Below are 27,354 nucleotides of genomic sequence, written 5' to 3' on the forward strand. Positions count from 1 at the left end.
AACACTAGCTCCCCATTCTCTGTCCACCCCTCGAGCTTCTGGCAATGGTCATTCTACTTTGTCTCTACAGATAAAGTTTATTTGGAAATAATTTTTCTTTCATGGCCTTGACATTTTTGAAGAGTACAGTCCAGCTCTCTTCTAGACTGTCCCTCCGTCTGGATTTATGTCATTTCTTCATGATTAGATTCAGTTAGGTATTTTTGGCAGAAACATCATAGAAGTGATGCTGTGTCCTCAGTCTATTAAAAGAGGCACAAGATATCAGTTTATCTCATTATTGATCAAATTAACTGACTATATGTTTAAGGGAGACAAGCCAGATTTCCTCACTGAGAGATTCCCTGTTTCTCTTTGCAATAATTAAATGTGAGAAACTTATTTTGAGACAAAGTCTCACTCTGCACTCTGTCCCCCAGGCTGGAGTGCATTGGCACAATCTCGACTTACTGCAACCTCTGCCTCCCTGGTTCAAGCGATTCTCCTGCCTCAGCCACCCAAGTAGCTGGGGTCACAGGAACCCACCACACCTGGCTAATTTTTGTATTTTTAGTAGAGACGGGATTTCACCATGTTGCCCAGGCTGGTCTTGAACTCCTGACATCAAGTGATCCACCCACCTCGGCCTCCCAAAGTGCTGGGATTAAAGGTGTGAGGCTGTGTGAATGATGTGTGCTCCAGGGAAAGTCATAGAATATATCAGTTTCCCCCTCTGTAAAGTGTGGACAGAAGTATCCTAACTGATATTACAGCTTAAGAAAGTAAAAGTGTTCAAGCGGCCTCTGGGCGCCAGCAAAAGAGGCTGGGGATTAATTTCCTGCGCGCTCCACAAGAGGCGGGGCTGGGCGGGGCGGGGGCGAGAGGGAACGAGGGCGCCTGCGCGGAGAGGAGTGACCATAGAGTCGGTCCTCCAGAGACAGAGGGGCCGGAAGTTCTCTTCACGGAGCCGCGCGGCTGCGGGGGCGCAAATAGGGTCAGTGGGCCGCTTGGCGGTGTCGTTGCGGTACCAGGTCCGCGTGAGGGGTTCGGGGGTTCTGGGCAGGCACAATGGCGTCTCGAGCAGGCCCGCGAGCGGCCGGCACCGACGGCAGCGACTTTCAGCACCGGGAGCGCGTCGCCATGCACTACCAGATGAGGTATGAAGTGAGGCGAGGAGCACGGAGGCTTTCTCCCCCGCTGGAGCCTGCGGGGCTTGGGGAGCGACGCCGGCCCGGCCTCAGGGTCTTGCTCCCCAGCCAGCCCCCGCTCACCTGCCAAGTCCCCTCCTCCCGTGACGGCTTCGGGCCTGTCCCCCATCCTGGAAAGCCCCGTGGCCCCCGCGAGCTCCACCCCTTGTTCCGCCCGGTGCCTTGAGGGGATCCAGCCCCGCGTGGGCTCCCGCCCTGCGTGGGCTCCCGAGTCACGTCGATGCTGGCCCCGCTGTATCACCTTCGAAACCGAATTTCTAATTTGAGCCTCAGCTTCCTCATCTGTAGAGGGAGAGAATAATCTGCCTTTTAGGTTTTGGTGAAAGATTAATCAGTAATTCGTGTAAAGAAAGTAGCATAAGGCCTACCACGTAATATATGGTAGGTGTTATATTTTGGGCCGTTTGGGGGGATATAGACAGTAAAAGGCAGCCTTTCCTAAGGACGCCTTGCCTAAAATGAATTTTATAAACACTCCCACGTAAGGGGTATTTCTACATTCAATTACTAGTTCGACAAATACTGAGCTTCCAAACATCATACACTGCTAGACACTAGGTTATAATAGTGAGCAAAAGCAGACGTGGTCTTTGTATACATGTTATACCTTCAATAAACAATTTTATTAAAGAAAAAAAAAACTGTTCCCTGCCTTCATGGAGCTTGAAGTCTAGAGATGACTGTTTTTTTTTTCCAACCTTTCCACATTTTCTACAATAAATATTTTTAAATAAAAATTTTAAAATTTTTACTTCCTTAAATCCATTGATCTCTCCCAGAATGTTCTTCACATCTCTCTCTCCAGAGTTTTAAAGAATGACAAGCTCTTTGAACTCTCATTTGTTTCACATCTCTAGGCCCCGGCTGAAAGGGCCCTCACAACTTAAGCAGGTGTTTTCATGCCAGCCCAGAGTAGAAACATTGCCTTTAGGGATATGAGGAGGATACGTTTGGGACGTGAGAGAATTAGAAGAATAAGATAAGTATGTACTTCTTTTGGATGAAAAAATCTAGCTGGAGAAGTATGGGCGGCCTGAGTACGTTTCCTCTCTGCCAATACCTTCTCCCGCCAGACTTTAATCCTATGGTGCAGTCAGCGTCCTCTTGCTAAACACAGCTCTGAGCTACCCTTCTGCCTTTATTATTATTATTAATTTATTTATTTATTTTTGAGACGGAGTCACGGTCTGTCGCCCAGGCTGGAGTGCAGTGGCGCGATCTCAGCTCACTTGTAAGCTCCGCCTCCCGGGTTCACGCCATTCTCAGCCTCAGCCTCCCGAGTAGCTGGGACTACAGGCGCCCGCCACCACGTGCTGCTAATTTTTTTGTATTTTTAGTAGAGACAGGGTTTCACCGTGTCAGCCAGGATGGTCTCGATCTCCTGACCTCGTGATCTGCCCGCCTCGGCCTCCCAAAGTGCTGGGATTACAGGCGTGAGCCACCGCGCCCAGCCCTGCCTTTTTATTAGTAGTATTGTTGTTGTTTTTTTTTTTTATGGAGATGGGGTCTCATTTTGTTGCCAGGCTGGTCTCGAACTCCTGGGCTCAAGCAGTCCTCCTGCTTCAGCCTACCAAAGTGCTTGGATTAGAGTTGTGAGCCCAGCCTCTTCTACTTTTAACTCTCATAGTCTTTGTGATTCATATCCCACTACCCCTCTCCCCCTAACAATATGTTCCTGCCACACATAACCACTTGCTTTCCTGGAACACAAATACTTGGGCCTTTTTGTCTGCATGCTCCTGCATGGGATGCCCATCTTCACTCATTCCTGAGCCTAGTTCAGATATCACCTGCCTCTAGATAGCCATCTCTGACATTCCATGCCAGGCAGAGTTGATTCCTCCTTCCTGTGATCCCATATATCTGGGAACATATATTTACTAGAACTTTTTCACTTCATTTTCTAATTACTTTTTCCTCCTCTGTTCTTTGTGTCCGGCTTCTAGGCTGTTTTATTCAAATTTGTATCCCAGTGTCCAGTACAGTTGTCTGGCATATAGTTGGTGGTAAGAAAAATTTGAAAGATACTTCTCCCTCTGCTCTGCCCCACAGTGTGACTCTCAAGTATGAAATCAAGAAGCTGATCTACGTACATCTGGTCATATGGCTGCTGCTGGTTGCTAAGATGAGCGTGGGACACCTGAGGCTCTTGTCACATGATCAGGTGGCCATGCCCTATCAGTGGGAATACCCGTATTTGCTGAGCATTTTGCCCTCTCTCTTGGGCCTTCTCTCCTTTCCCCGCAACAACATTAGCTACCTGGTGCTCTCCATGATCAGCATGGGACTCTTTTCCATCGCTCCACTCATTTATGGCAGCATGGAGATGTTCCCTGCTGCACAGCAGCTCTACCGCCATGGCAAGGCCTACCGTTTCCTCTTTGGTTTTTCTGCCGTTTCCATCATGTACCTGGTGTTGGTGTTGGCAGTGCAAGTGCATGCCTGGCAGTTGTACTACAGCAAGAAGCTCCTAGACTCTTGGTTCACCAGCACACAGGAGAAGAAGCATAAATGAAGCCTCTTTGGGGTGAAGCCTGGACATCCCATCGAATGAAAGGACACTAGTACAGCGGTTCCAAAATCCCTTCTGGTGATTTTAGCAGCTGTGATGTTGGTACCTGGTGCAGACCAGGCCAAAGTTCTGGAAAGCTCCTTTTGCCATCTGCTGAGGTGGCAAAACTATAATTTATTCCTGGTTGGCTAGAACTGGGTGACCAACAGCTATGAAACAAATTTCAGCTGTTTGAAGTTGAACTTTGAGGTTTTTCTTTAAGAATGAGCTTCGTCCTTGCCTCTACTCGGTCATTCTCCCCATTTCCATCCATTACCCCTTAGCCATTGAGACTAAAGGAAATAGGGAATAAATCAAATTACTTCATCTCTAGGTCACGGGTCAGGAAACATTTGGGCAGCTGCTCCCTTGGCAGGCTGTGGTCTCCTCTGCAAAGCATTTTAATTAAAAACCTCAATAAAGATGGCCCTGCCCACACTGTGCCTTGTGTTTGGGGCTTGATAGAGTGTGAAAGGTGTGTTGCTTGAAAGGTGTGGCCTTAGACACTAGGAGATGATGGGTAGAAGCTCCTTGAGAAACCTAGCAGTGGCCATAGAGAAGTAGACTGGGTATGGGGAACCTAAGTCATAGTTGTAACCTACAGCTGATTGGTAAGAACTATGGGCCAGACATTTAATCTCTCCATCTATGAAATAGTCCATTCTCATTTATCTACCTTAGGTTATGGGCTCTTCTTTTAGTTGGATATTCACATTTATCTTTCAGTGTTAACTGGGTATCAGTTATGAGTCTACTACTGTATAATGGCATCCAAAAGAATTTTAAAGTACCTCGGTTTATAGGGATTTACAATTCAGTAGAAACTTGTTATTCATGTGAAACAGTGAACATAATATCTAATGATGTGGAGCAAGTACATTAAAAACAGGAAGGAAGAGATCTGTGATTAAACTAAAGGCCCTTTCACACCTAAAATTCTGGCAGTATTTATTGCATGAAAGATAATGTGTCTCTTTGCACTTGATTTTATTGTCTCTGGATGATGCCCAGATCTGTAACTGCAGAGCTCTGCCCTCTCCAGAGATGTAGTCATTATTTTGTTCTAGAAACATTGTGTATGTAGTTAGTCATTACTGAGTCACTTTTTTTTTTTTTTTTTTTTTAATTGAGACGGAGTCTTGCTCTGTCGCCCAGGCTGGAGTGCAGTGGCACGATCTCGGCTCACTGCAAGCTCTGCCTCCCGGGTTCACACCATTCTGCCTCAACCTCCCAAGTAGCTGGGACTACAGGTGCCCACCACCACGCCCGGCTAATTTTTGTATTTTTAGTAGAGACGGGGTTTCATCGTGTTAGCTAGGATGCTCTCGATCTCCTGACCTCATGATCCGCCCTCCTCAACCTCCCAAAGTGCTGGGATTACAGGCGTAAGCCACCGTGCCTGGCCTTTTTTTTTTTTTTTTTTTTTTTTTTTAAAGGCAGTGTTTCATTTCCCTCACCCAGGCTGGAATGCAGTAGCGCCATCTTGGCTCGCCTCTACCTACCAGGCTCAAGTGATTCTCCTGCCTCAGCCTCTCAAAGTGCTTGTGTTACAGGTGTGAGCCATCGCGCCTGGCTGGCAGTACTTACAACTCTAAAACCTCTTCCTCTAGATGTCCTAATTATCATCTCAAAATAAGTATGTCCCAAACAGACCTTTGTGTTTCTGCCTCATACCCATTCCTCTTCCTGCATCCCTTTGTTCAAGTGAGTATATACCAAGAGTACAGCTCTGGATTATCTGTTCCATGATCATTAAGTCCCTACTATGATCTTTGTTGCAACTTAAATGCCTTAAGCTCTGAGGTTTCCAAAGTGGTCCCAATCCACCAGTCCTGCATTATCTCCCAATACCCCTAGTCTCATGCTGTCTTAGTCAACTAAACCTCTTATGGATCCCCATGTAGGTTTCGTGGTTTCCCAGTTTCCTTTGCTTAAAAATTTCCCTTTTCTATTTTTATACTGCTTTATTAATTATCCTTTAAGGCCCAGTTAATATGGCAATTCTTGAGCTTTCTGGTTCCTTCAATTCAAGGAACATGAATTCCTTCTCTGAGTTCTTATTTTACTGCTTTTAGGTGCTGCACAGGAGGTGTGAAAAACATGCAATTCTTTTTATTTATTTTTTTTATTTTTATTTTTTTTGAGACAAGGTCTTACTCTGTCGCCCAGGCTGGAGTGCAGTGGCATGATCTTGGCTCACTACAACCTCCGCCTCCCGGGTTCAAGCGATTCTCTTGCCTCAGCCTCCCTAGTAGCTGGGATTACAGGCGCCTGCCGCCGCGCCCGGCCTAATTTTTTTTTTTTTTAAACAGAGTCTTGCCCTGTTCCCTAGGCTGAAGTGCAGTGGCTCGATCTGGGCTCATTGCAGCTTTCCCTCCCAGGTTCAAGCGATTCTCCTGACTCAGCCTCCTGAGTAGCTGGGATTACAGGCATGTGACACTATGCCTGGCTAATTTTTGTATTCTTAATAGAGACAGGGTCTCACTATGTTGGCCAGACTGGTCTTGAACTCCTGACCTCAGATGATCATCCTGCTTTGGCCTCCCAAAGTGCTGGGATTACAGATGTGAGTTACTGTGCCCAGCCTCACATGGAATTATTGACAGGATTATTGTAAACTAAAGTCGGGGTGTATTTCACAGAGGATAGAACCAAACTGAAGTAGAGAGAAAATTTGGAGAGCAGTAGTAGATGGAAATGTATGGATAATGGAGTTAGTATGTGCACCAGACACAGATTGCTCGTTTTTAAAGAATTGGGATGCAAATAGTTTGAAATTTCTTTGGTTATTGGAATGGCACTTTATGGACTTAGAGTACTATCAAAGACCCATTATGAAAATTATTGTCAACAATGTAAACAAACCAAAACCATTTGGTTTATGTTAGTTTTCTGCTTGTTAGGTTGTCGGAATTTTGCTTTTGTGGACCTTTCCTATCACCTTTTCCTGCCTCATGGTTGTAGTGTTCCAGAAGCAAACAAGATTCCCTTGTTGAATCTTGATTTAGTAGAAAGAACATTATTTGAATCAGAAGATATGTTCAAGTACCAATGCACCTACCAATTATAGGACTAAAATCAACCCTCCCTATTTCACAGATTGTTCTAAAGATCAAATAATGTGGCTGGGCGCAGTGGCTCATACCTGTAATCTCAGCACTTTGGGAGGCCGAGGCAGGCGAATCACCTGAGGTCAGGAGTTTGAGACCAGTCTAGCCAACATGGTGAAACCCCGTCTCCACTAAAAATACAAATGGGCATGGTGGTGGGTGCCTGTACTTCCAGCTACTTGGGATGGTGTCCTAAGAGGATGGGCCAGAAGACCTGGGTTCCCCTCCCTGCCAATTATTCCTCTCTGAGCCTCGCTTTTCTCCTCTGGAGACTCACCGCTATGTCTTCCTGGCCTCTTCTGCCAGAACACACTACTTGGGGAGATCAGAGGGTTTCTGGACCCTGTAGTTCACAGAAGGTACTAAACTTAGCAGTGTGTTCACAGAAGGTACTAAACTTGGGAGGCTGGGGCAGGAGAATCGCTTGAACCCAGGAGGCTAAGGTTGTGGTGAGCCGAGATCGCGCCACTGCACTCCAGCCTGAGTGACACAATGAGACTCTGTCTCAAAAAAAAAAAAAGTTGAAATATTGTGAAACTGCTTTATGAACTATGTATCATTATATAAATATGAAAGATGGTTATTTCCTGATCTTTACAGGAGGAGAGAATGTAGGAGTTGAAGGGACTATTAGAGATAATCCAGGCCATGAGAAAGGCAATGTGGTATAATGGAATGAACAGTGTTTTTTGTTTTGTTTTGTTTTGTTTTGTTTTTGAGACTCACTCTGTCGCCTAGGCTGCAGTGCAGTGGTGCAATCTCAGCTCACTGCAACCTTTGCTCACACCCGGTTAATTTTTGTATTTTTGTAGAGACAGGGTTTCACCATGTTGGCCAGGTCTCGAACTCCTGACCTCAAGTGATCTACCCACCTCGGCCTCCCAAAGTGCTAGGATTACAGGCATGAGCCACCATGCCCAGCCAACAGTTTCTTACATTAGACAGACATAGGTGGGAATTCCAGCCAGGCATTTTACTAACTTTTGCCTTGTGCAAGATACCTGAGCCTCTGTTCTTGATCTGACACATGGGCATCATTTTAGCTACCCCCAGGATTGTTGGGAGGCTTAGATAATATGTATGGACAGGCTACATAGTAGGGGTTTAATAAGTAACAGAATGCCTTCCCTTGTTGAGCAGTGTTGGCTTCCTCGCTGAGATTGGGAGTCTCTACCTCTCAGCAATAATTTCTTGCCTCAGAATTCTGGAGGTTGATCCTTCTGGAAGAGCAGATGTAAAGAAGGGATACTCGCCCACTGTTGGTGTACATTGATCTAATTGGTGGGCCTTCCTGCCCAGGGTTCCCTATCAGTGAGCAGAGTTGCCCCAGTAGACGTTAGGAATTGGCCATTACAGGAAGAACCTGGAGCTACTGTTCCATGGTCTGACCAGAGTTCATGCACAGATAAGGCGGTGACAAGAAAAATGGCTGCCCAAGGTCCCTACAGTGCACTCTAAGCATGTGCAGGGGCCTGCCAGGACTTCCTGAGCTCCTGGCTTTGTTCCCAAGTAAAGGCTATTAATCATTAATCATGAAGTCTTGGTCAGCTCATTTTGACACAAACCACAGATGAGACAGGCCTTAGCCACCTGCCAAGAAGACAGGGCCTCTGTGCTGAAGCCCTACAACACACCTTTGTTGCTTTACTCCAATTGGCCACCTCCTATTCCAGCCACAGTTACTCCTCCCTTGTTGACACTTGCCAAACAATCCCAACTCTCCTACAAGTCTAACCACTGGTAACATTATTATAAGATCTACTTTCCTTTCTTTCCAACACTTTCATTTCTTTCTTTACATTGTTAACCCTGCCAATTGTATCACACTGCTAAGTTTAGTAACTTCTGTGAACTACAGGGTCCAGAAACCCTCTGATCTCCCCAAGTAGTGTGTTCTGGCAGAAAAGGCCAGGAAGACATAGCGGTGAGTCTCCAGAGGAGAAAAGCGAGGCTCAGAGAGGAAAAATTGGCAGGGAGGGGAACCCAGGTCTTCTGGCCCATCCTCTTAGGACACCATCTCCTAGGCCTCATATTTCTGAAGTTCTCACAGTGCTGCGGTGTTTAGCGCTCTGATCTATTGGCAAGCGGACTGGTAGACTTGGCAGCCCTTTTCCCCCTCTGACTCCAGGGAGAGTACCTGCATGCCTTCTGGGGGCTTCCCCCAGCTCAGGTGTGAAGTGTGATTGTGTGTGTGTGCATGTGTGTGTATGAGACAGAGAAAGGGGATGTGTGTGCACAAGGTGCATGTCAGCAGCACTCACAGGCTTCCTGCCAGCTCTGGAAGGGACATTTTTTGCCCCTCACAGTGTCCTCTTGCAGGTAGGATGCCTGGAGAGACGGGAGCAGGTGGGGAGGGTCAGAGGAATGGCTTTTCCAATCTCACTCAGACCTAAAACTCATTCTGGCTTTACTTTACTGTGACGCAAGCTGCCTGAGCTGGCCAGGCACCAAATAGGAGGGGGCAATGTGGGGTGAGGGCAAGGGTGGGGAGGAACTCAGAGCGTAAGCGTAGGAGAGAGATCAGCAAGTGAGGGGCTGACTTCAGCTCTTAGGTGTGTGTGCTTGGACTTTACCTAATCTTCCTGAGTGTTTTGCAGTCTGTAAAATGGGGTAATAAGACTGTGAACTCAAGGGTTGTAGTACAAATAAAATAAACTGGGCAAAATGCATGACTCAGAGCCTGATAGTAGGATTTCAGCAAATGTTGATCCCATCCCTCCCCTTCCTTAGGTTGTGCCAGAATTCACCCCTGTGCTTCTTACCTTAAATACTTTTTGGAACAGTCTCTACAATAAATAAGTAAACCAGCAAGACAATAAATAAAATGCACACGTCCTTTTCTTTTTCCCCCTTTCTTCCTCACCTTTATTCCTTTTACTTTTCCAGCGGGTCCTGGAATGCTGTTTTTCTTCCCTTTCTTCCCTCTTTCCCTCTCTTCTCTCCTCCCATCCTCCTTCCCTCCCTTCCTCTCTTCCTCCGTCCCTTCCTCCCTCCCTCCCTTCTTTCCTCCCTTCCTCCTTCCCTCCCTGCTGCCTTCTCTCCCTCCCTCCTTTCTTCCCTCCCTCCCTTCTTTCCTTCCTTCCTTTTTTTCCCTTCCTCTCTTCCTTCTTATCTCCATTTCTTTTCTGCTTCTCCTCCCATACCTTAACCAGAAGCAATTAACCAATATTTTCTCTGTGAGAGATCAGAAGATAAGGGTAAAGAAGAAGGATTGTTTTGGAATAGAACCAAGTTTCTCACTTCATGCCTCCAGCATTAGAAAACTCATTATTTGGGCCGGGCGCAGTGGCTCACGCCTGTAATCCCAGCACTTTGGGAGGCCGAGGTGGGCGGATCACAAGGTCAGCAGATTGAGACCATCCTGGCTAACACGGTGAAACCCCCTCTCTACTAAAAACGCAAAAAATTAGCCGGGTGAGGTGGCGGGTGCCTGTAGTCCCAGCTGCTCGGGAGGCTGAGGCAAGAGAATGGCGTGAACCTGGGAGGCGGAGCTTGCAGTGAGCCGAGATCGCACCACTGCACTCCAGCCTGGGCAACAGAGCAAGACTCCGTCTCAAAAAAAAAAAAAGAAAACTCATTATTGGCCAGACACAGTGGCTCACACCTGTAATCCTAGCACCTTGGGAAGCTGAGGCAGGATAACTGCTAGAGGCCAGGAGTTTGAGACCAGCTTGAGCACCATAGCCAGACCCTATATGTAGCCAGGCAAAATGGTGTGTGCCTGTGAAGGGAGGATTCACTTGAGTCCAGGAGGTTGAGGCTGCAGTAAGTGGTGATTGCGCCATTGTCCTCCAGCTTGGGTGATAGAGTGAGACTCTGTCTCAAAAAAAAAAAAAGAAAAGAAAGAAACCTCATATTTATATAGCTCTAAACCACTGTGAGTTAGGTAGAATTTGGGGGAAGGCTCTCTAACCTATTCTTAGTATGGCCAGACCACCCTTTCCTCCTTTCAGATCTTACTGTTTTGTTTGCAGAGATGGACTTCAAGGCCAAAAGGCATACTGTGTTAGGGTCTGTGTCAGGCAGCCCCTTTTGGGTTCCAAGAGCAGAGGAAGATGAGGCTGTGTGAGGGAAGACCATAGGATGATAGAGAATTGGTACCGGGCACAGTGGCTCATGCCCATAATCCTAGCACTTTGGAAGGTTGAAGCAGGTGGATCACTTGAGGCCAAGAGTTCAAGACCAGCCTGGCCAATGTGGCAAAACCCTGTCTCTACTAAAAATACAAAAATTAGCCAGGCATAGTGGTGCACAGCTGTAATCCCAGCTACTCAGGAGGCTAAGGCACAAGAATCACTTGAACCTAGGAGGCGGAGGTTGCAGTGAGCCAAGAACACACCACTGCACTCCAGCCTGGGCAACAGAGCAAGACTATCTCAAAAAAAAAAAAAAAAAAAAAAAGCCAGGTGCTGTGGTTCATGCCTGTAATCCCAGCACTTTGGGAGGCCAAGCTGGGCTCAGATCACCTTAGGTCAGGAGTCCAGGACCAGCCTGGCCAACATGGTGAAACCCGTCTCTACTAAAAATACAAAAATTAGTCTGGTGTGGTGGCGTGCACCTGTAATCCCAGCTACTCGGGAGGCTGAGGCGGGAGAATCGTTTGAACCTGGGAGGTGGAGATTGCAGTGACCTGAGATTGCACCATTTGCACTCCAGCTTGGGTGACACAGTGAGACTCTGTCTCAAAAAAAAAAAAAAAAAAGAGAGAGTTGAGTTGCGAGGGCCTAGCAAAAGGGGAGCTCCCTGAACTATAGACTTTGACCTTGTCCAAATCATTATCCCTCTGCTTCCTTATCTCTCTATGAAATGAAAACAATAATTAACACTTACCTGTCTCACAGGTAGGGTTAGGAGGATTAAATATAAAAGTGTTTTGTGAAGTGTGAAACAGATAAACTACATAGATGAAATGTATCATGACATTTATTCAATTACACAGCACATACTTCATAATATCTACTGCTAGGCTTGGAGAAACATAAAGAATAAGAGTTTTTATCTTTTCATGAACTCAAAAAGCTAGAGGGTACTTTTAGGATAATGGGTAGGATGCAGCCTTCAGACAATGAACCTAAAGACAGGAATAGAATTGGCCAAAAGCAGGCTGTGGTTAGGCCACTGAAAGGTGGTCTAGATTGAATTGCAGGGGGACAATAACAATCTCAAGATGCCTTGGCTGGGCGCCGTGGCTCACGCTTGTAATCCCAGCACTTTGGGAGGCCAAGGTAGGTGGATCACATAGTCAGGAGTTCGAGACCAGCCTGGCCAATATGGTGAAACCCTGTCTCTACTAAAATACAAAAATTAGCCAGGCATGGGGCAGGTGCCTGTACTCCCAGCTACTCAGGAGGCTGAGGCAAGAGAATCGGTTGAACCCAGCAGGTGGAGGTTGCAGTGAGCAGAGATTGTGCCACGGCACTCCAGCCTGGGTAATAGAGCAAGACTCAGTCTCAAAAAAAAAAAAAAAAAAAAAAAAAAAGATGCCTTGACCTGGTAGGTGTGCCCCAAACTTTCTTTCCAGTGTGTGTGTTACCAAGGTGAGGGCTGAAGCTGCTCAAATGCTCCATGAAGGGGAGGAAGCTGTGGGATGATGGGGAGGGTTCCCACAAAGATGGAGCCTCGTCAGCCTTTCTCCAGCACCGGAAACCACAGGAAACCAGGTCAGTGTGTGGGGCCCGCTCCCTCTGCTCCAGGGCTCAGCTGTGAGCTCTGGGGCTTCCTGAGCAGGGCGTACTGACTAGTGGGTCCTTGAAGCTAGAGGCCCCTTTGGTATGGAGCCCTTTGCCTAGAAGAGCTGGACCTGGCTCATGGGTAGAGAGAACTCGGCTATAGTCCTGAGAGTTAACCAGTTGGGAAGCCAGGGTACATATGGGCTTCATGTGCATCCTAGAGTGCTTTTTTTCTTCCCCACTCTAAATGGTGCCTCAGTCACCTCTGTATCTCCAGCACCCAGTGCTGAGTAGTGCTTAAGAGCTCGGCTAATTCTCTAAGTGAGGGGGTGAAGCGCATGTCTATGGGAGACACAAGTTCCAGAGTGTGCTGATGGGTGGATCAGATCTGCAGTGTGTTTCAGGAGTAGGAGGGGCTAAGAAATGGGTGCGTCCCCCAACCTGATGCTAGCCCCTTTCCTGTTACTTCTCACCCACAGCAGGAGCCCCTTGTCTTTCAGGTGGGGGGCAGTAGGGTTTTTGGGGGCACAAGCTTTCCTCAGTCCCTCCACTTGGAGGGGAAGGAATGTGGCCTGGCTGGCTGGTTGGGATCAAGGAGGAGCTTTCGGGCAGGGCGGGGCCAGGGCAGGCTGGGGCGAGGGCTCCTGCTGGTACTGTGTTCGCTGCTGCACAGCAAGGCCCTGCCACCCACCTTCAGGCCATGCAGCCATGTTCCGGGAGCCCTAATTGCACAGAAGCCCATGGGGAGCTCCAGACTGGCAGCCCTGCTCCTGCCTCTCCTCCTCATAGTCATCGACCTCTCTGACTCTGCTGGGATTGGCTTTCGCCACCTGCCCCACTGGAACACCCGCTGTCCTCTGGCCTCCCACACGGTAAGGTGCTGCTGCCAGGTAGGGACACCTGCCTGGCACAGCCATAAAGCTCCCCACTCCCCTGCCTGCCCTGTGCTACCTCCGCAGTCCCTGTGCTCTGGTGGCAGCTTTGATGTGTCCTCTACCTAGTCTCAAAGGGGTAGCCAAGGTCCTTTGTGCTGAGGGCCTGGACAGGGTGGAGCTGGGAAGATAAGAGCCAGAAGGTATGGGCTATTAGCTATGGGGCTCAGAATTTGCTGATTTGAAGCAAAGACCCCAGGAATGTGCCTTATGGGAGTCTCTCCTAATAATAGCTCTTTCCTTTCTTTTCCCTACTGGGCCCTGTGCCTCAGGATGACAGTTTCACTGGTGAGTCGCATTTCCTGCCCCATTGCTCCTCCCCACGCCCACTATTTTTGCAGATGCCTAGCAAGCCCTCCATTCTAATTTTCAGTTCCCAACCCGGGAAGTAGCACAATATCAAGGAAAAATTTGGAATCATGACAAGCCTGGGTTCACATTGCAGTTCTGCCAGACTCCCGTGTGGCCTCAGACTGTGCACCTAACCCCTCCAACTGACCCTCAGTTTCTGAGGGGTAGTAGCATAGTAGAAATGATTGTACACTAAAGGCAGTGTTGCTTCTGATCTGTAGAGAGGATTAGATGAGAAACATGAGTAAATCTCCAGGTTCTCCATATATGTTGGCTCCTCCCCTTAACTGATCCCTCACTTCTATCAGTAATACAACAATAATCCTTCCTATTTTATGGTATGTTCTACTTCACAAGACATTTTCCCATACACTACAATTTTGATTTTTATAACAGACCCGCTTTATGAATGAGGAATCTGATCCTTAGACAGGTCCTGTAACCCCCAAAGTCATACTTCCAGGATGTGACAGAGCTTGGCCTCAAATCCAGCTTGTTGGAGGTAGGAGGGACCTTCTTAGACCCTATCATTTGCTTTCCCTTCCATCTTTCCCAGGAAGTTCTGCCTATATCCCTTGCCGCACCTGGTGGGCCCTCTTCTCCACAAAGCCTTGGTGTGTGCGAGTCTGGCACTGTTCCCGCTGTTTGTGCCAGCATCTGCTGTCAGGTGGCTCAGGTATGAGAAACAGCCCCTTGGGCCATTCTCAGTGAAGAGAACATTTTGAGGGACCACCTAGGCTGAGCAAGTGGGACTTACTAGAACAGATATTTGTCTTGTTTTAACCTCAACTGGGACTTGGATTATCCTAAAATAGCACGCTATGACTGATATTCACAAATACAATTGTACAATTTTATGAAGGTTTTTTTTCAGCTGAGATTCTTGGAATTAAAAGCTATGGATTTATTGTTATTACCATCTATTTGTAGAGCAGGATCTTCTTTCTTACTCTATATTTTAATTGCTCAGCTCAGTGCCTGGTACATACTAAATGCCCTTACATTGCTTAAGAATTGGCAGTTTCTAGGCCAGGCGCGGTGGCTCACGCCTGTAATCCCAACACTTTGGGAGGCTGAAGCAGCCTGATCACCTGAGGTCAGGAATTCGAGACCAGTCTGGACAACATTGTGAAACCCCTGTCTCCACTAAAAATACAAAAAATTAGCAGGGCCTGGTGGCAGGCACCTGTAATCCCAGCTGCTCAGGAGGCTGAGGCAGGAAAATCACTTGAACCCAGGAGGTGGAGGTTGCAGTGAGCCGACATCATGCCATTGCACTCCAGCCTGGGCGACAAGAGCAAAACTCCATCTCCAAAAAAAGAATTGGCAGTTTCTGGGCCAGGTATGATGGTTCACACCTGTAATCCCAGCACTCTGGGAGGCCAAGGTGGGTGGATCGCTTGAGTCCTGGAGTTTGAGACCAGCCTGGCCAACATGGCCAAACCCCATCTCTACAAAAAAATACAAAAATTAGCTGGATGTGGTAGTGCACACCTGAAGTCCCAGCTACTTGGGAAGCTGAGGTGGGAGGATCACCTGAATTCAGGAGGTGGAGGTTGCAGTGAGTTAAGATAGCGCCACTGCACTCCAGCCTGGATGACAGTGTGAGACCCTGTCTCAAAAAAAAAAAAAAAAAAAAAAAAAGAATAGGCAGTGTTTAATTTTTCTAATTGTTTGTTGTTAGAAATAATGCTACAGGGCTGGGCACAGTGGCTTATGCCGGTAATCCCAGTACTTTGGGAGGCTGAGGCGGGCAGATCACCTGAGGTCAGGAGTTTGAGACCAGCCTGGCCAACATGGTGAAACCCCGTCTCTACTAAAAATACAAAAATTAGCCAGGTGTGATGGTGCATGCCTGTAATCCCAGCTACTCAGGAGGCTGAGGTGAGAGGATTGCTTAAGCCCAAGAGTTCAAGACTGCAGTGAGCAGTGATTGTGCCACTGCACTCCAGCCTCCATGACAGAGCAAAATCCTGTCAAGAAAGGAAGGAAGGAAGGAAGGAACGAAGGAAGGAAGGAACAAAGGAAGGAATGAAGGAAAGAAAGAAAAGAGAGAGAGGCAGGGACTGGCGTGGTGGCTCACGCCTGTAATCCCAGCACTTTGGGAGGCTGAGGTGGGCAGATCTTGAGATCAGGAGATCGAGACCATCCTGGCTAACATGGTGAAACCCCGTCTCTACTAAAAGTACAAAAAATTAGCTGGGCGTGGTGGCAGGCGTCTGTAGTCCCAGCTACTCTGGGGGCTGAGGCAGGAGAATCGCTTGAAGCCAGGAGGCGGAGATTGCAGTGAGCCAAGATCGCGCCGCTGCACTCCAGCCTGCGTGACAGAGCAAGGCTCCGTCTCCAAAAAATAAAAATTAAAGAATGCTAAAATGAATATCTTTGTATATATAGCTTTTTCTCTGCTTAAGAAATTAATCTTTTCTTGATTGCTTTATAATTTTCAAGATTAAAGAAGCTTGACATCCTTACCCTCCTTGATTTAAAACGACTTACTATCAGGCCGGCTCATGCCTGTAATCCCAGCACTTTGGGAGGCCGAGGCGGGCGGATCACCTGAGGTTGGGAGTTCGAGACCAGCCTGACCAACACGCAGAAACCCCGTCTCCACTAAAGATACAAAATTAGCCGGGCATGGTGGCACATGCCTGTAATCCCAGCTACTTGGGAGGCTGAGGCAGGAGAATCACTTGAACTTGGGAGGTGGAGGCTGCAGTGAGCCGAGATCGCGCCATTGCTCTCCAGCCTGGGCAACAAAGAGCAAAACTCCATATCAAAATAAATAAATAAATAAAATAAAATAAAATTACTTACTAACACTGGGCCACATCTCCAGGCAGGGGAGGGGGTAATGAGGGCTAGATAGTAAGTACGTCTCCCCTGCACAGGTCTTCAACGGGGCCTCTTCCACCTCCTGGTGCAGAAATCCAAAAAGTCTTCCACATTCAAGTTCTATAGGAGACACAAGATGCCAGCACCTGCTCAGGTACTCTCCCTGTCAGTTCCAGCCCTACCTGACGCCCCACAGACCTTTGCTTTCTGGCCTCTCATTTGGTTCTCCAGCCATGTGAGACAGAAAGTGTGGAGATGAAGTATTCTGTCTATTACACAGCTAGGGAGGCCAAAAGAGTTTGAGCAACTTGCCTGTAGTACCTCAGGTTCCAGAGGCAGAAACAGAAGCCAGGTTTCCTGATTTCTGGCCTGAGGCCAACCTTGTTCTCTGCCTTTAGAGGAAGCTGCTGCCTCGTCGTCACCTGTCTGAGAAGAGCCATCACATTTCCATCCCCTCCCCAGACATCTCCCACAAGGGACTTCGCTCTAAAAGGACCCAACCTTCGGATCCAGAGACATGGGAAAGTCTTCCCAGATTGGACTCACAAAGGCATGGAGGTGGGCACTGGGTACAACAGGAGATGGGTTCAGCTGAGTGGTGGTACCAGTGCTAAGGCCAAGAGACAAGGCCACTGAGTCCTTCCTCTCCCCAGGACCCGAGTTCTCCTTTGATTTGCTGCCTGAGGCCCGGGCTATTCGGGTGACCATATCTTCAGGCCCTGAGGTCAGCGTGCGTCTTTGTCACCAGTGGGCACTGGAGTGTGAAGAGCTGAGCAGTCCCTATGATGTCCAGGTATGGTGTGTCATCCCCCTGTAAAAAGCCCGATCACACAGTGCTAGCAAAAGAGGCCACCCATTGTACAAATGAGGAAACTGAGGCCCAGAGAGGGATGGTAACTGTCCAAGACCTCCTTACAAGCTGAAGGGTCTATCATTAAGACTTCTTTGGGCGTGGCATGGTGGCTCACACCTGTGGTCCCAGCACTTTGGGAGGCCAAAGCAGGAGGATTGCTTGAAGCCAGGAGTATAAAACCAGCTTGGGCAACATAGTGAAACCCTGCTGCTAAAAATAAATAAATAAATTAATTAATTAATTAATTAAATTAAATTTAAAGACTTCTTTGGACTAGACAGAAAAGGCAGACGGCCTTGTCACCGGGAAGAACAGGAAAGGCAGGCAGAGACCTGGAGCAGCCATGAATGACCATGAATGAGCAGAGAGATTAGTATGGTATTTACCCCCAATGAGAGGATCCTCAGTGTGATTCAGGCATTAAGAAGCCTTTCCTTGAGCTTCAAGTTAGTGACAAGTAAGAAAAAAGAATTGTTAATTAAAAATTTAAAAAGCCTTTTCAGCTCCCCTAAGAGGTTGTATCGCCTAAGAACATAACAAAATGATCACATCTGTCTTGGTACCCTTCCATCTCCCTCCCTTTGTTCCTGCCACTCAGAGAGTGATATGTCTCCCATTCTCCCAACCTGGGCCCCAGCATCCCACCTCAACCTCCCTTTGTCATGGATGCCATTGTATACAGTTGGTAGCATTTGCAGGGACTGCTGTTGAACCCCTGAGGCCCTCAGCTTATCATTTTTATAACAGTGAGGATACCTCATAAGATCACTGTGATGCTAGCATGGAGTTAATTGATTTAATACTTCTAGCACCCTCTACACTCCCTGGCATATAGTAGGGCCTCAATAAAGGAATGTATTCCCTGTCTCCTTCCCCCCAACTCCACCTAGAGCACCTAGAGCTAATGATTAGATTACTAAGCAGACAACCTTTGAGAGACTTATCAGGAGAAGAAGTATCTCATATTAGAGGAAAAACAGGGTGTGTTGGCCAAGATCCCAGCACTGTTCTGCCCTTGTCTATGTGCCCATGCTCTTTCTCAGGCATCTTTTGTCTTCCTTTGCTGTTTCATCCACAGAAAATTGTGTCTGGGGGCCACACTGTAGAGCTGCCTTATGAATTCCTTCTGCCCTGTCTGTGCATAGAGGTGAGCAAAGGAAAAGGTGTGGGCTGTCCATGGCTCTGCTCCTAAGCCCCCAAGGTAGCGCAGTTGGTCAAGTATATCTCCAGTAAATTGGGTTTAAAAAGACTGAGTGTTACTGGCATGCTTAGGAAGACCAGCGCCAGCTTGGCTGTGAGCCACACATGGGGTCAGAGGTGGAAGGGTGCTGCTGAACATTGGACCTTCTTAGGGTGATTCCAACCTCAGCCTCATCCAAACCCATCTTTCCCTGGCCCAGACCTGGCCTCAGCCCACAGAGCCAGAATAGGCAGCTGTCATTGCTGTGTGTTCTGAGGAGTCGAGGAAGGAGTGTGTGCATGGCCACTGCAGGATCCATATGCCCCCAAAAGTCTTGTCCCCTCTAGGCCTCTGTGGCAGTCCTCCTTTTCTCTTTACAAGTCTAAGGAACATAGCAGAAAGTTTTCTTTGGACTAGACAGAAAAGGCAAGGGAAATTGTCACCTGGAAGACCTAAGGGAGGATGATGGCAGAGACCTAGAGCCACGAGCAATTGCCAGGGTGGACAGCAGGTGGGCATGTGGGCATTCCAGAGTCAGGAGCCAACACAGAGCACTGGGTGCCTTGGGGATGGCTGAGAGTGGAGGCCAGAGAAGACCAAAGCTGAGGAATGCGACCTCAGGATTTCCTTCTTTCTGGGGATAGTTCTCTTTAGGAGGAAGAGGAGTTAGCCCCTCACTTGCTTATCCCTCTCCTATGCTCTGGAGTTCCTCTCCACCCTTGCCCCCACCCCACATTGCCCCCTCCTGCTCGGTCAGTGCCTGGCCAGCTCAGGCAGCTTGCGTCACAGTAAGGTAAAGCCAGAATGAGTTTTAGGTCTGAGTGAGATTGGAAAAGCCATTCCTCTGACCCTCCCCACCTGCTCCCGTCTCTCCAGGCATCCTACCTGCAAGAGGACACTGTGAGGCGCAAAAAATGTCCCTTCCAGAGCTGGCCAGAAGCCTGTGAGTGCTGTTGACACGCACCCTTGTGCACACACATCCCCTTTCTCTTTCTGTCTCCTACACACACATGTACACACACACACACACACACCCCGCACTTCACACATGTGCTGGGGGAAGTCCCCAGAAGGCATGCAGGTACTTTCCCTGGAGTCAGTGGGGGGAAAAGGGCTGCCAAGTCTACCAGTCCGCTTGCCAATAGATCAGAGATCGCTGAGCACCGCAGTACTGTGAGAAGTTTAGAAATATGAGGCCTAGGAGATGGTGTCCTAAGAGGATGGGCCAGAAGACCCAGTTCCCATCACAGCTCTGTCAATTGTTCTTCTCTGAGCCTCACTTTCCTCATCTGTAAAATCTCAATACCTGCTCTGCCTTCAAAGTGTTTGTGAAGCCTGAGTTAAATATTACATATGAAAGTGGCTGGTGATGTCTGAAGTGCTGTATGCATGTTGTTGTTCTCAAGGAGAGGCAGGACACTCAGACAAAAGTGACTCACATAAAGCAGCCTACAGAACTTACAGGGCAGGGTTATGGTTAAGGACTAGGCTGTAGGGCAAGAAATTGGGAAAGGGAGAAGCCCAAGAAGGGCCATTATAAGCAGAGAAGGCCTCTTAGAGGAAGTGGCACCTGAGCTGGGGTCAGAAAAAGGGCAAGACTTAGAAAGGAGAGATAGGAGGGAAAGACATTCCTGGTTCTGAGAGGACCCTAAGCAGATTTCGAGTTTGGGGAGAAGCAAGGACCTGGCCAGAATGGAGGCCTGGGAAGGAGAGGAGAGAGACCCCTGGATAGAAAGATAATGAGGTTGGGCGCAATGGCTCACGCCTGTAATTCCAGCACTTTGGGAGGCTGAAGTAGGCAGATCACCTGAGGTCAGGAGTTTGAAACCAGCCTGGCCAACATGGTGAAACCCTGTCTGTACTAAAAATACAAAAAGTTAGCCGGGCATGGTGATGCGCGCCTGTAGTCCCAGCTACTCAGGGGATCAAGACAGGAGAATCACTTGAGCTCGGGAGGCAGAGGTTGCAGTGAGCCGAAATCACACCACTGCACTCCAGCCTGGGTGACAGAGTGCAACTCCGTCTCAAAAAAAAAAACAAAAAACAGAAAGGTAATGAAAGGGGGCTGGGCATGGTGGCTCACACTTGTAATCCCAGCACTTTGGGAGGCCAAGGTGGGTGGGTCACAAGGTCAGGAGTCCACGAGGTCAGGAGACCAGCCTGGCCAATATGGTGAAAACCCATCTCTACTAAAAATACAAAAATTAGCTGGGCTTGGTGGCACACACCTGTAATCCCAGCTACTGAGGCATGAGAATCGCTTGAACCCAGGACACAGAGGTTGCAGTGAGCTGAGATTGCACCACTGCACTCCAGACTGGGCGACAGAGTGAGATTCTATCTCAAAAAAGAAAAGGAAAAGAAAGATAATGAAAGGGATGCTCATTGATTTAGTACCTGTTCTGGCCAGGAATAGTGCTGGTTACTTTTACAAACATTATCTCCAGCTGCCCCCAGGATGTGGGTGGCAAGGTGGGGCTGAAGCAGGGCTGACCCTCACCCACTGACCCTGCCACCTGCCCAGATGGCTCGGACTTCTGGAAGTCAGTGCACTTCACTGACTACAGCCAGCACACTCAGATGGTCATGGCCCTGACACTCCGCTGCCCACTGAAGCTGGAAGCTGCCCTCTGCCAGAGGCACGACTGGCATACCCTTTGCAAAGACCTCCCGAATGCCACAGCTCGAGAGTCAGATGGGGTGAGGACAGGTTCCCCCAGGACCAGGGTGGGCAGGGCTGGGGCCCAGGAATTTTCTCCCTGATGAACTCTCCTCTCCTCCCACAGTGGTATGTTTTGGAGAAGGTGGACCTGCACCCCCAGCTCTGCTTCAAGGTACAACCATGGGTAAGAAAAGATGTGGTGTAGTGGGTATTGCCTGGAGCTTGCTAATCTGCCATTCCTGTATTTCTCAGTTCTCTTTTGGAAACAGCAGCCATGTTGAATGCCCCCACCAGACTGGTGAGTCAATAAGTGACCTCTGCTGGGACCCCCTGCCCCATTTCATCCTCACCCAACTGTAACCAAGCTAAACCCCAGCCCAGCCCTGAATTCATCACCCAAAGCCCAACTCCTATCAACACCCCCACCCCGCCCCAAACAGGGTCTCTCACATCCTGGAATGTAAGCATGGATACCCAAGCCCAGCAGCTGATTCTTCACTTCTCCTCAAGAATGCATGCCACCTTCAGTGCTGCCTGGAGCCTCCCAGGCTTGGGGCAGGACACTTTGGTGCCCCCCGTGTACACTGTCAGCCAGGTATGGCCTCGCCCCCACTAGGTCCTATTGCTCAGAGCACAGCCCTCAATTTCCTTGTGACCTCATTGAGATAGACCCTGGGAAGGCAGAAACAAACAAATCCCTGACTTTTACCATCTGGTTTACTTTATTTACGTGATCAGCCTCTGTTCAGCTAACTTGCTGACAGTAGGTTCCTCAAGGGAGCATTTTCTTTTTTTTCTTTTTTTCTTTTTTTTTTTTGAGACAGAGTCTCGCTCTGTCACCCAGGCTGGAGTGCAGTGGCGCGATCTCGGCTCACTGCAAGCTAAGGGAGTATTTTCTAATCCTTTCAGTTTCTGAATTTACAGGAATAACAGAGGCAAGGGACTGGCCCTCCCACATTCAGGTGTCCTGTAGCCCAGGGGTCCCAATCCGTGAGCCGCAGACCAGTAACTGTCTGTGGTTTGTGAGAAACGAGGCCACACAGCAGGAGGTAAGTGGAGGGTGAGCAAGCATTACTGCCTGAGCTCTGCCTCCTGTCAGTCCAGTGGCTGCATTAGATTCTTATAGGAGCGCAAACCCTATTGTGAACGGTGCATGCGAGGGATCTTGGTTGTGAGCTACTTATGAGAATCTAATGCCTGATGATCTAAGGTGGTTTCATCCTGAAACCATTCCCCCAAACCCCAACCCCTTCAACCTCTGTGTAAAAATTTTCTTCCATGAAACCAGTCCCTGGTGCCAAAAAGGTCGGGGACCACTGCTCTAGCCTAACAGAACAACATTTAATACTGATGCCTTCCCTTGAACCCAGCTGTCCGCTACCACTACTCTCCTGCCTCCACGAGGCACCTGTGCAGAAGTTATCTATCCTAGGAGGCAGAGCCCATGCAGCTGACAGGCTCTGCACAATCCTGTAAACTATTGACAAATTTCACCTGTTACGTAACTAGGAGCACTTTATCAGACTATCTTCCATGTATCTGATATAAAAACCACAGTCAAGTACACCCTCAATACCACAGCACCACGCTGACTAAGCATGACTAGCTCTTTCAAACAGTTATTTCTTAAATGCTCACTTGCAGCTTATATGTTTGTTTTGCATTGTATGAGGGCTCCCAAGCAGACAGGTGATAGCAACACAGTATGAAAGACCAAGTCACGCTTAAGATGGCCACATGCAGTGTCTCACACTTGTAGTCCCAGCTGAGGTGGGAGAACCGTGTGAGCTCAGGAGTCCAAGGCTGCAATGAGCTATGATCATGCCACAGCACTCCAGCCTGGGTGACAGCATAAGACTCTGACTCTAAAAAAAATGTTTTTAATTAAAATTCTGTCCAATTTAGTATGCTTTGTGCCCACCCTGTAGCAGGCTCTGGGAGATACAAGAAAAGTATATAACACAGTTAAGGAGTTCATAGACTAATAATAGCTGTTACCAATAAATGAATATACATTGTAGTTTATTTAAAAAGACATTCATGTGCATATACCCATTTGATGCTCTCAATAACCCAGTAAAATAAAGATTATTATCCCCCATATAAAAATGAAGAAAGTAGGCCAGGCGCAGTGGCTCACGCCTGTAATTCCAGCATTTTGGGAGGCTGAGGAGGGCAGATCACCTGAGGTCAGGAGTTTGAGACCAGCCTCACCAACATGGCAAAACCCGTCTCTACTAAAAATACAAAAATTAGCTGGGCATGGTGGCGTGCACCTGTAATCCTAGCTACTTGGGAGGCTGGGGCAGGAGAATAGCTTGAACCCAGGAGGTGGAGGTTGCAGTGAGCCAAGATTGCACCAGTGCACTCCAGCCTGCACGACGGAGCAAGACTCTGTCTCAAAAAATAAATAAATAAATAAATAAATAAATAAACAAACATAAAAAAATTAAAATAAAAATGAGGGAAGTGAGCCTTAGGAAAGAGAGGTAACCTACCTCCATGCAAGGACCACAAAGCTAGGGACTACAAAGGCAACAGTTAAGCCTGGACCCAGGTCTCCTGACCTTAAAACTTACATTCTTTTCAATGATATGTTTTGATACCTCTTCAGCTGTGCAGGAGAGTAAAGTGAGACAGCCTTCCTGGTTTGTGAGCTGCTAGAGGACACAGACAATGTCCGCACCCGCCTTCTTTCCTCAGGGCTTGGCACAGAGGACACACTCAGAGTCTGTCTGTTGACAAATACCTGACTGCAGCAGGAGCTGAGCTCTGGGAAAGATCAGTGGGAGCCGGAGTGACTGGGGAAGCCTTCTTGTCAGAGGTGGCACTTGGCCTAAGCCTCGTAGGATTGGGGGTGTGGTGGGGAGGAACAGCAGGGGCAAAGACTCAAGGCCAGACAGGGCCAGATTCACCTCCCTGGGGACAGCCTTTCTGCTCTTTGTTTCTACAGGCCCGGGGCTCAAGCCCAGTGTCACTAGACCTCATCATTCCCTTCCTGAGGCCAGGGTGCTGTGTCCTGGTAAGGAAACCTACCCTCACTCTACATACAGAGCCTTGGCATCTGCTCCCCTAGTGGCACCCACCCCTGGAAAATCCATTCTGCAAAAATGTTTGGTTTGGCCAGCACAGTGTTTTAAATTGAAATTGCTTACCACCATTTACATATATAAACAAAGCTGGATTTCTGGCCTCTGTTGAAAAATCAGAAAAACCTAGTGCCGTGTGTCCACATTCTGGCATGGTGACAATGGCCTGGAGCTCAGTGCCATCTGATTGTTTCAGTCAGGGCCTGTGCTCTCCAGGTCCTCACAGCAGCCCTGGTCAACTTTGAGTTTACTTTTTGAGTTTGGCCCCTGTCACACTTGAGTTTGCCACCATTGACCTGTTCTGTGCCAGGCTAGCAGCTGGAGCAGACACAAACCCACCTGGGAAGAATTCCCTAGCCAGTGGGGACTCCCCTCTCCCCCAGCTCCATGCTTCACTCAGCTCCCCGGGAGGAGAAGATGCCTGGCTCATAGGGGTGGGGGGCTCTGTGCCCTCAGGTGTGGCGGTCAGATGTCCAGTTTGCCTGGAAGCACCTCTTGTGTCCGGATGGTGAGTTCTTGGGGAGGGGGAGGTAAGAGGGAGGCTGGGCACTGAGGAACTGGGCTTGGCCTCATCCTGCTTGACTCAGTCTCTTACAGACACCTGGGGCTCTTGATCCTGGCACTGCTGGCCCTCCTCACCCTACTGGGTGTTGTTCTGGCCCTCACCTGCCGGCGCCCACAGTCAGGTAAGCTCACCTGGGGTAACCTGGGAAGTCAGACCTGCCCAGCTCGGAGACTAGCTGCCCCCTCACCCTCCCCTGTCTGAGCTCTCAGCACTGCACCCAATCTCTGTTACCCAGGCAGGGAGCCTCAGGCCCCCAAGTGAGCAGGAATGGTTAAGGCAAGGCAAAGGGCCCTCTGAGCATATTGTCACTGTACTGAGTCTCTGTACAAAAGGCTAGTGGGGCAGAAATCCAGCCTGCGCTGTACTCGCCCAGCCTGGAGCCCTGACCCTCTCTTCAGAAGGGGTGCCTTTATCTAATTAGCCCATAAGCACCCTATAGGCTAGGGCTGTTTTCGGTACCAACCCCCAGAGCAAATAAGGGGCGGGGGCGGGGGCGGAGAGGCGAGCACCCTACGGTATCCCGAGAGGGTGGGGAGAAGAGGGCTGAGCAGTCCCTCAGCCGCCCAGCCTTCATCTGTTGCTTCCCGCCACCAGGCCCGGGCCCAGCGCGGCCAGTGCTCCTCCTGCACGCGGCGGACTCGGAGGCGCAGCGGCGCCTGGTGGGAGCGCTGGCTGAACTGCTACGGGCAGCGCTGGGCGGCGGGCGCGACGTGATCGTGGACCTGTGGGAGGGGAGGCACGTGGCGCGCGTGGGCCCGCTGCCGTGGCTCTGGGCGGCGCGGACGCGCGTAGCGCGGGAGCAGGGCACTGTGCTGCTGCTGTGGAGCGGCGCCGACCTTCGCCCGGTCAGCGGCCCCGACCCCCGCGCCGCGCCCCTGCTCGCCCTGCTCCACGCTGCCCCGCGCCCGCTGCTGCTGCTCGCTTACTTCAGTCGCCTCTGCGCCAAGGGCGACATCCCCCCGCCGCTGCGCGCCCTGCCGCGCTACCGCCTGCTGCGCGACCTGCCGCGTCTGCTGCGGGCGCTGGACGCGCGGCCTTTCGCAGAGGCCACCAGCTGGGGCCGCCTTGGGGCGCGGCAGCGCAGGCAGAGCCGCCTAGAGCTGTGCAGCCGGCTCGAACGAGAGGCCGCCCGACTTGCAGACCTAGGTTGAGCAGAGCTCCACCGCAGTCCCGGGTGTCTGCGGCCGCAACGCAACGGACACTGGCTGGAACCCCGGAATGAGCCTTCGACCCTGAAATCCTTGGGGTGCCTCGAGGACGACTGGCCGAAAAGCCGCATTCCCTGCCTCACAGGCCGGAAGTCCCAGCCCAGTCCCCGCGCGCGTCCCTCTTCCTCCTCATACTTTCCCTTGACTGAGAGCTCCTCTAACCCCTGTTCTGATGGGGGAGGGCGGTCTTCCCACTTCCTCTCCAGAACTCCAGAAAGAGCAGTGTGCTTATGCTTCAGTCCAGGCTGGAGAGGTTGGGGCCGGGGTAGGGAGGCAGGAGCCATGTCAGTTCTGAAGGAGGGTGAGGCGGTGGGGGATTGCAGGGGGCGGCTGAGAGAAAACCTCCTTGGGGGCCAGGGATTCCCTTTCCCACTCTGAGGCTCTGGCCAGAGGGAGAGAGGACTCTGGACCTAGGAAAAGAGGCTTTTGGCTCCAGGTGGTCAGGACAGTGGGGGTTGGGGGTGGGGTGGGTGGGTGCTGGCGGTGGGGACCAAGATCCGGAAAGATGAATAAAGACAAACATGACAAACTAAGAAAACACAGTGTGCTTCTCTAGTGTGGCTGGGGAGCCTGCCTGGTGGGGTATGTGTCAGTGTGCTGGCCCAAATCCTCTGTGTCCATACCGCATGGCATCCGTCACATTCTTACAAGCAATGCCTCCAAAAGCAAAGGAGGATGGGGCAATCTCCTTGATCCCCCCCAGTGATTCTTACAAGAGGAGAGGAAAACAGAGGCTTCGCCAGATGGTGTGTCCATCATCACACAGCCGGCCCACAGCAACAGCACAGATGGGACCCCTGTCTGCCAGGCTCTGGGGTCCTGGGTTCCTTCTACTCCCCATACCGCATTTGAGCCAGGCAGTGGTGAAAAGCCCACTTTCTGGTGCCTTTTGTCCGTGCTTTTAGAGCTCCTGTCCCACAAAGGGTTACCGAGGCCCAAAGAGTGTCTGAAGGGACCGAGTGTGCCTAGTAAGGGGAGACTTAGTGGGCCCAGGACTCCAGGGCTGTGTCCTCCTTAGGGCTCCGGGGGTGAGTAAGAGCTCCCTTACTCAGCCGTGATGCATTCGCTGTCTTCTTCAGGGGCCCCTCCCAGCCAGGTGTCAGCAGAGGGAGAGGAGAGCCAAAGAAGGAGGAGGTGCGGCCACCACCCTAGTCCAAGGCTGCTG

At 49.7% G+C, this 27,354-nt stretch overlaps 2 protein-coding genes across 20 annotated transcripts, besides 9 other annotated features; both read left to right on the top strand.

Annotated features, from left to right (window-relative positions):
• Positions 935-4,674, top strand: JAGN1 (jagunal vesicle mediated transporter 1). Of its 2 annotated transcripts, none has more exons than NM_001363890.1 (2): positions 935-1,136; positions 3,134-4,674. In NM_001363890.1, the coding sequence occupies exon 2, from the start codon at positions 3,313-3,315 to the stop codon at positions 3,700-3,702; it is 390 nt and encodes a 129-aa protein (NP_001350819.1). In that variant the 5' UTR covers positions 935-1,136; positions 3,134-3,312; the 3' UTR covers positions 3,703-4,674. The 2 variants fall into 2 exon arrangements, with proteins under 2 accessions (NP_001350819.1, NP_115881.3); NM_032492.4 differs by having other exon boundaries at positions 3,240-4,674.
• Positions 8,230-8,524: a silencer, noted in NCBI's record as "tiled region #14744; K562 Repressive DNase unmatched - State 5:Enh". NCBI's record gives its function as "weakly represses a minimal TATA promoter and a strong SV40 promoter by Sharpr-MPRA in K562 cells {active_cell/tissue: K562}" and the evidence as "EXISTENCE:reporter gene assay evidence [ECO:0000049][PMID:27701403]".
• Positions 8,230-8,524: an enhancer, noted in NCBI's record as "tiled region #14744; HepG2 Activating DNase unmatched - State 1:Tss". NCBI's record gives its function as "activates a minimal TATA promoter and a strong SV40 promoter by Sharpr-MPRA in HepG2 cells {active_cell/tissue: HepG2}" and the evidence as "EXISTENCE:reporter gene assay evidence [ECO:0000049][PMID:27701403]".
• Positions 12,418-26,727, top strand: IL17RE (interleukin 17 receptor E). 18 transcript variants are annotated; one of them, XM_047447458.1, is made up of 17 exons: positions 12,419-12,508; positions 13,215-13,389; positions 13,722-13,737; positions 14,357-14,476; positions 16,689-16,786; positions 17,031-17,190; positions 17,286-17,425; positions 18,564-18,632; positions 19,542-19,608; positions 21,190-21,365; positions 21,452-21,499; positions 21,580-21,625; positions 21,768-21,922; positions 24,281-24,349; positions 24,873-24,924; positions 25,004-25,102; positions 25,576-26,727. In XM_047447458.1, exons 2-17 carry the CDS (start codon positions 13,258-13,260, stop codon positions 26,130-26,132), a joined length of 2,004 nt encoding a protein of 667 aa, XP_047303414.1. In that variant the 5' UTR covers positions 12,419-12,508; positions 13,215-13,257; the 3' UTR covers positions 26,133-26,727. The 18 variants fall into 18 exon arrangements, 16 of the variants coding, with proteins under 16 accessions (XP_011531663.2, XP_047303414.1, XP_047303416.1 ...); XM_047447460.1 differs by having other exon boundaries at positions 12,428-12,508; positions 24,800-24,924; NM_153483.2 differs by lacking the exon at positions 12,419-12,508 and adding an exon at positions 12,937-13,017.
• Positions 13,377-14,046: an enhancer, noted in NCBI's record as "H3K27ac-H3K4me1 hESC enhancer chr3:9944736-9945405 (GRCh37/hg19 assembly coordinates)". NCBI's record gives its function as "activates a minimal SCP1, AML or CMV promoter by ChIP-STARR-seq in primed H9 embryonic stem cells {active_cell/tissue: H9 hESC(primed)}" and the evidence as "EXISTENCE:reporter gene assay evidence [ECO:0000049][PMID:30033119]".
• Positions 25,596-25,675: a silencer, noted in NCBI's record as "silent region_14047". NCBI's record gives its function as "represses an Ori minimal core promoter by ATAC-STARR-seq in GM12878 lymphoblastoid cells {active_cell/tissue: GM12878}" and the evidence as "EXISTENCE:reporter gene assay evidence [ECO:0000049][PMID:35858748]".
• Positions 25,786-25,845: a silencer, noted in NCBI's record as "silent region_14048". NCBI's record gives its function as "represses an Ori minimal core promoter by ATAC-STARR-seq in GM12878 lymphoblastoid cells {active_cell/tissue: GM12878}" and the evidence as "EXISTENCE:reporter gene assay evidence [ECO:0000049][PMID:35858748]".
• Positions 26,026-26,105: a silencer, noted in NCBI's record as "silent region_14049". NCBI's record gives its function as "represses an Ori minimal core promoter by ATAC-STARR-seq in GM12878 lymphoblastoid cells {active_cell/tissue: GM12878}" and the evidence as "EXISTENCE:reporter gene assay evidence [ECO:0000049][PMID:35858748]".
• Positions 26,676-27,215: an enhancer, noted in NCBI's record as "H3K4me1 hESC enhancer chr3:9958035-9958574 (GRCh37/hg19 assembly coordinates)". NCBI's record gives its function as "activates a minimal SCP1, AML or CMV promoter by ChIP-STARR-seq in naive H9 embryonic stem cells {active_cell/tissue: H9 hESC(naive)}" and the evidence as "EXISTENCE:reporter gene assay evidence [ECO:0000049][PMID:30033119]".
• Positions 26,676-27,334: a biological region, named in NCBI's record as "H3K4me1 hESC enhancer GRCh37_chr3:9958035-9958574".
• Positions 27,145-27,334: an enhancer, noted in NCBI's record as "active region_19412". NCBI's record gives its function as "activates an Ori minimal core promoter by ATAC-STARR-seq in GM12878 lymphoblastoid cells {active_cell/tissue: GM12878}" and the evidence as "EXISTENCE:reporter gene assay evidence [ECO:0000049][PMID:35858748]".

Source organism: Homo sapiens, chromosome 3 (assembly GCF_000001405.40).
Source record: "Homo sapiens chromosome 3, GRCh38.p14 Primary Assembly".
NCBI classification, from domain to species: Eukaryota; Metazoa; Chordata; class Mammalia; order Primates; family Hominidae; genus Homo; species Homo sapiens.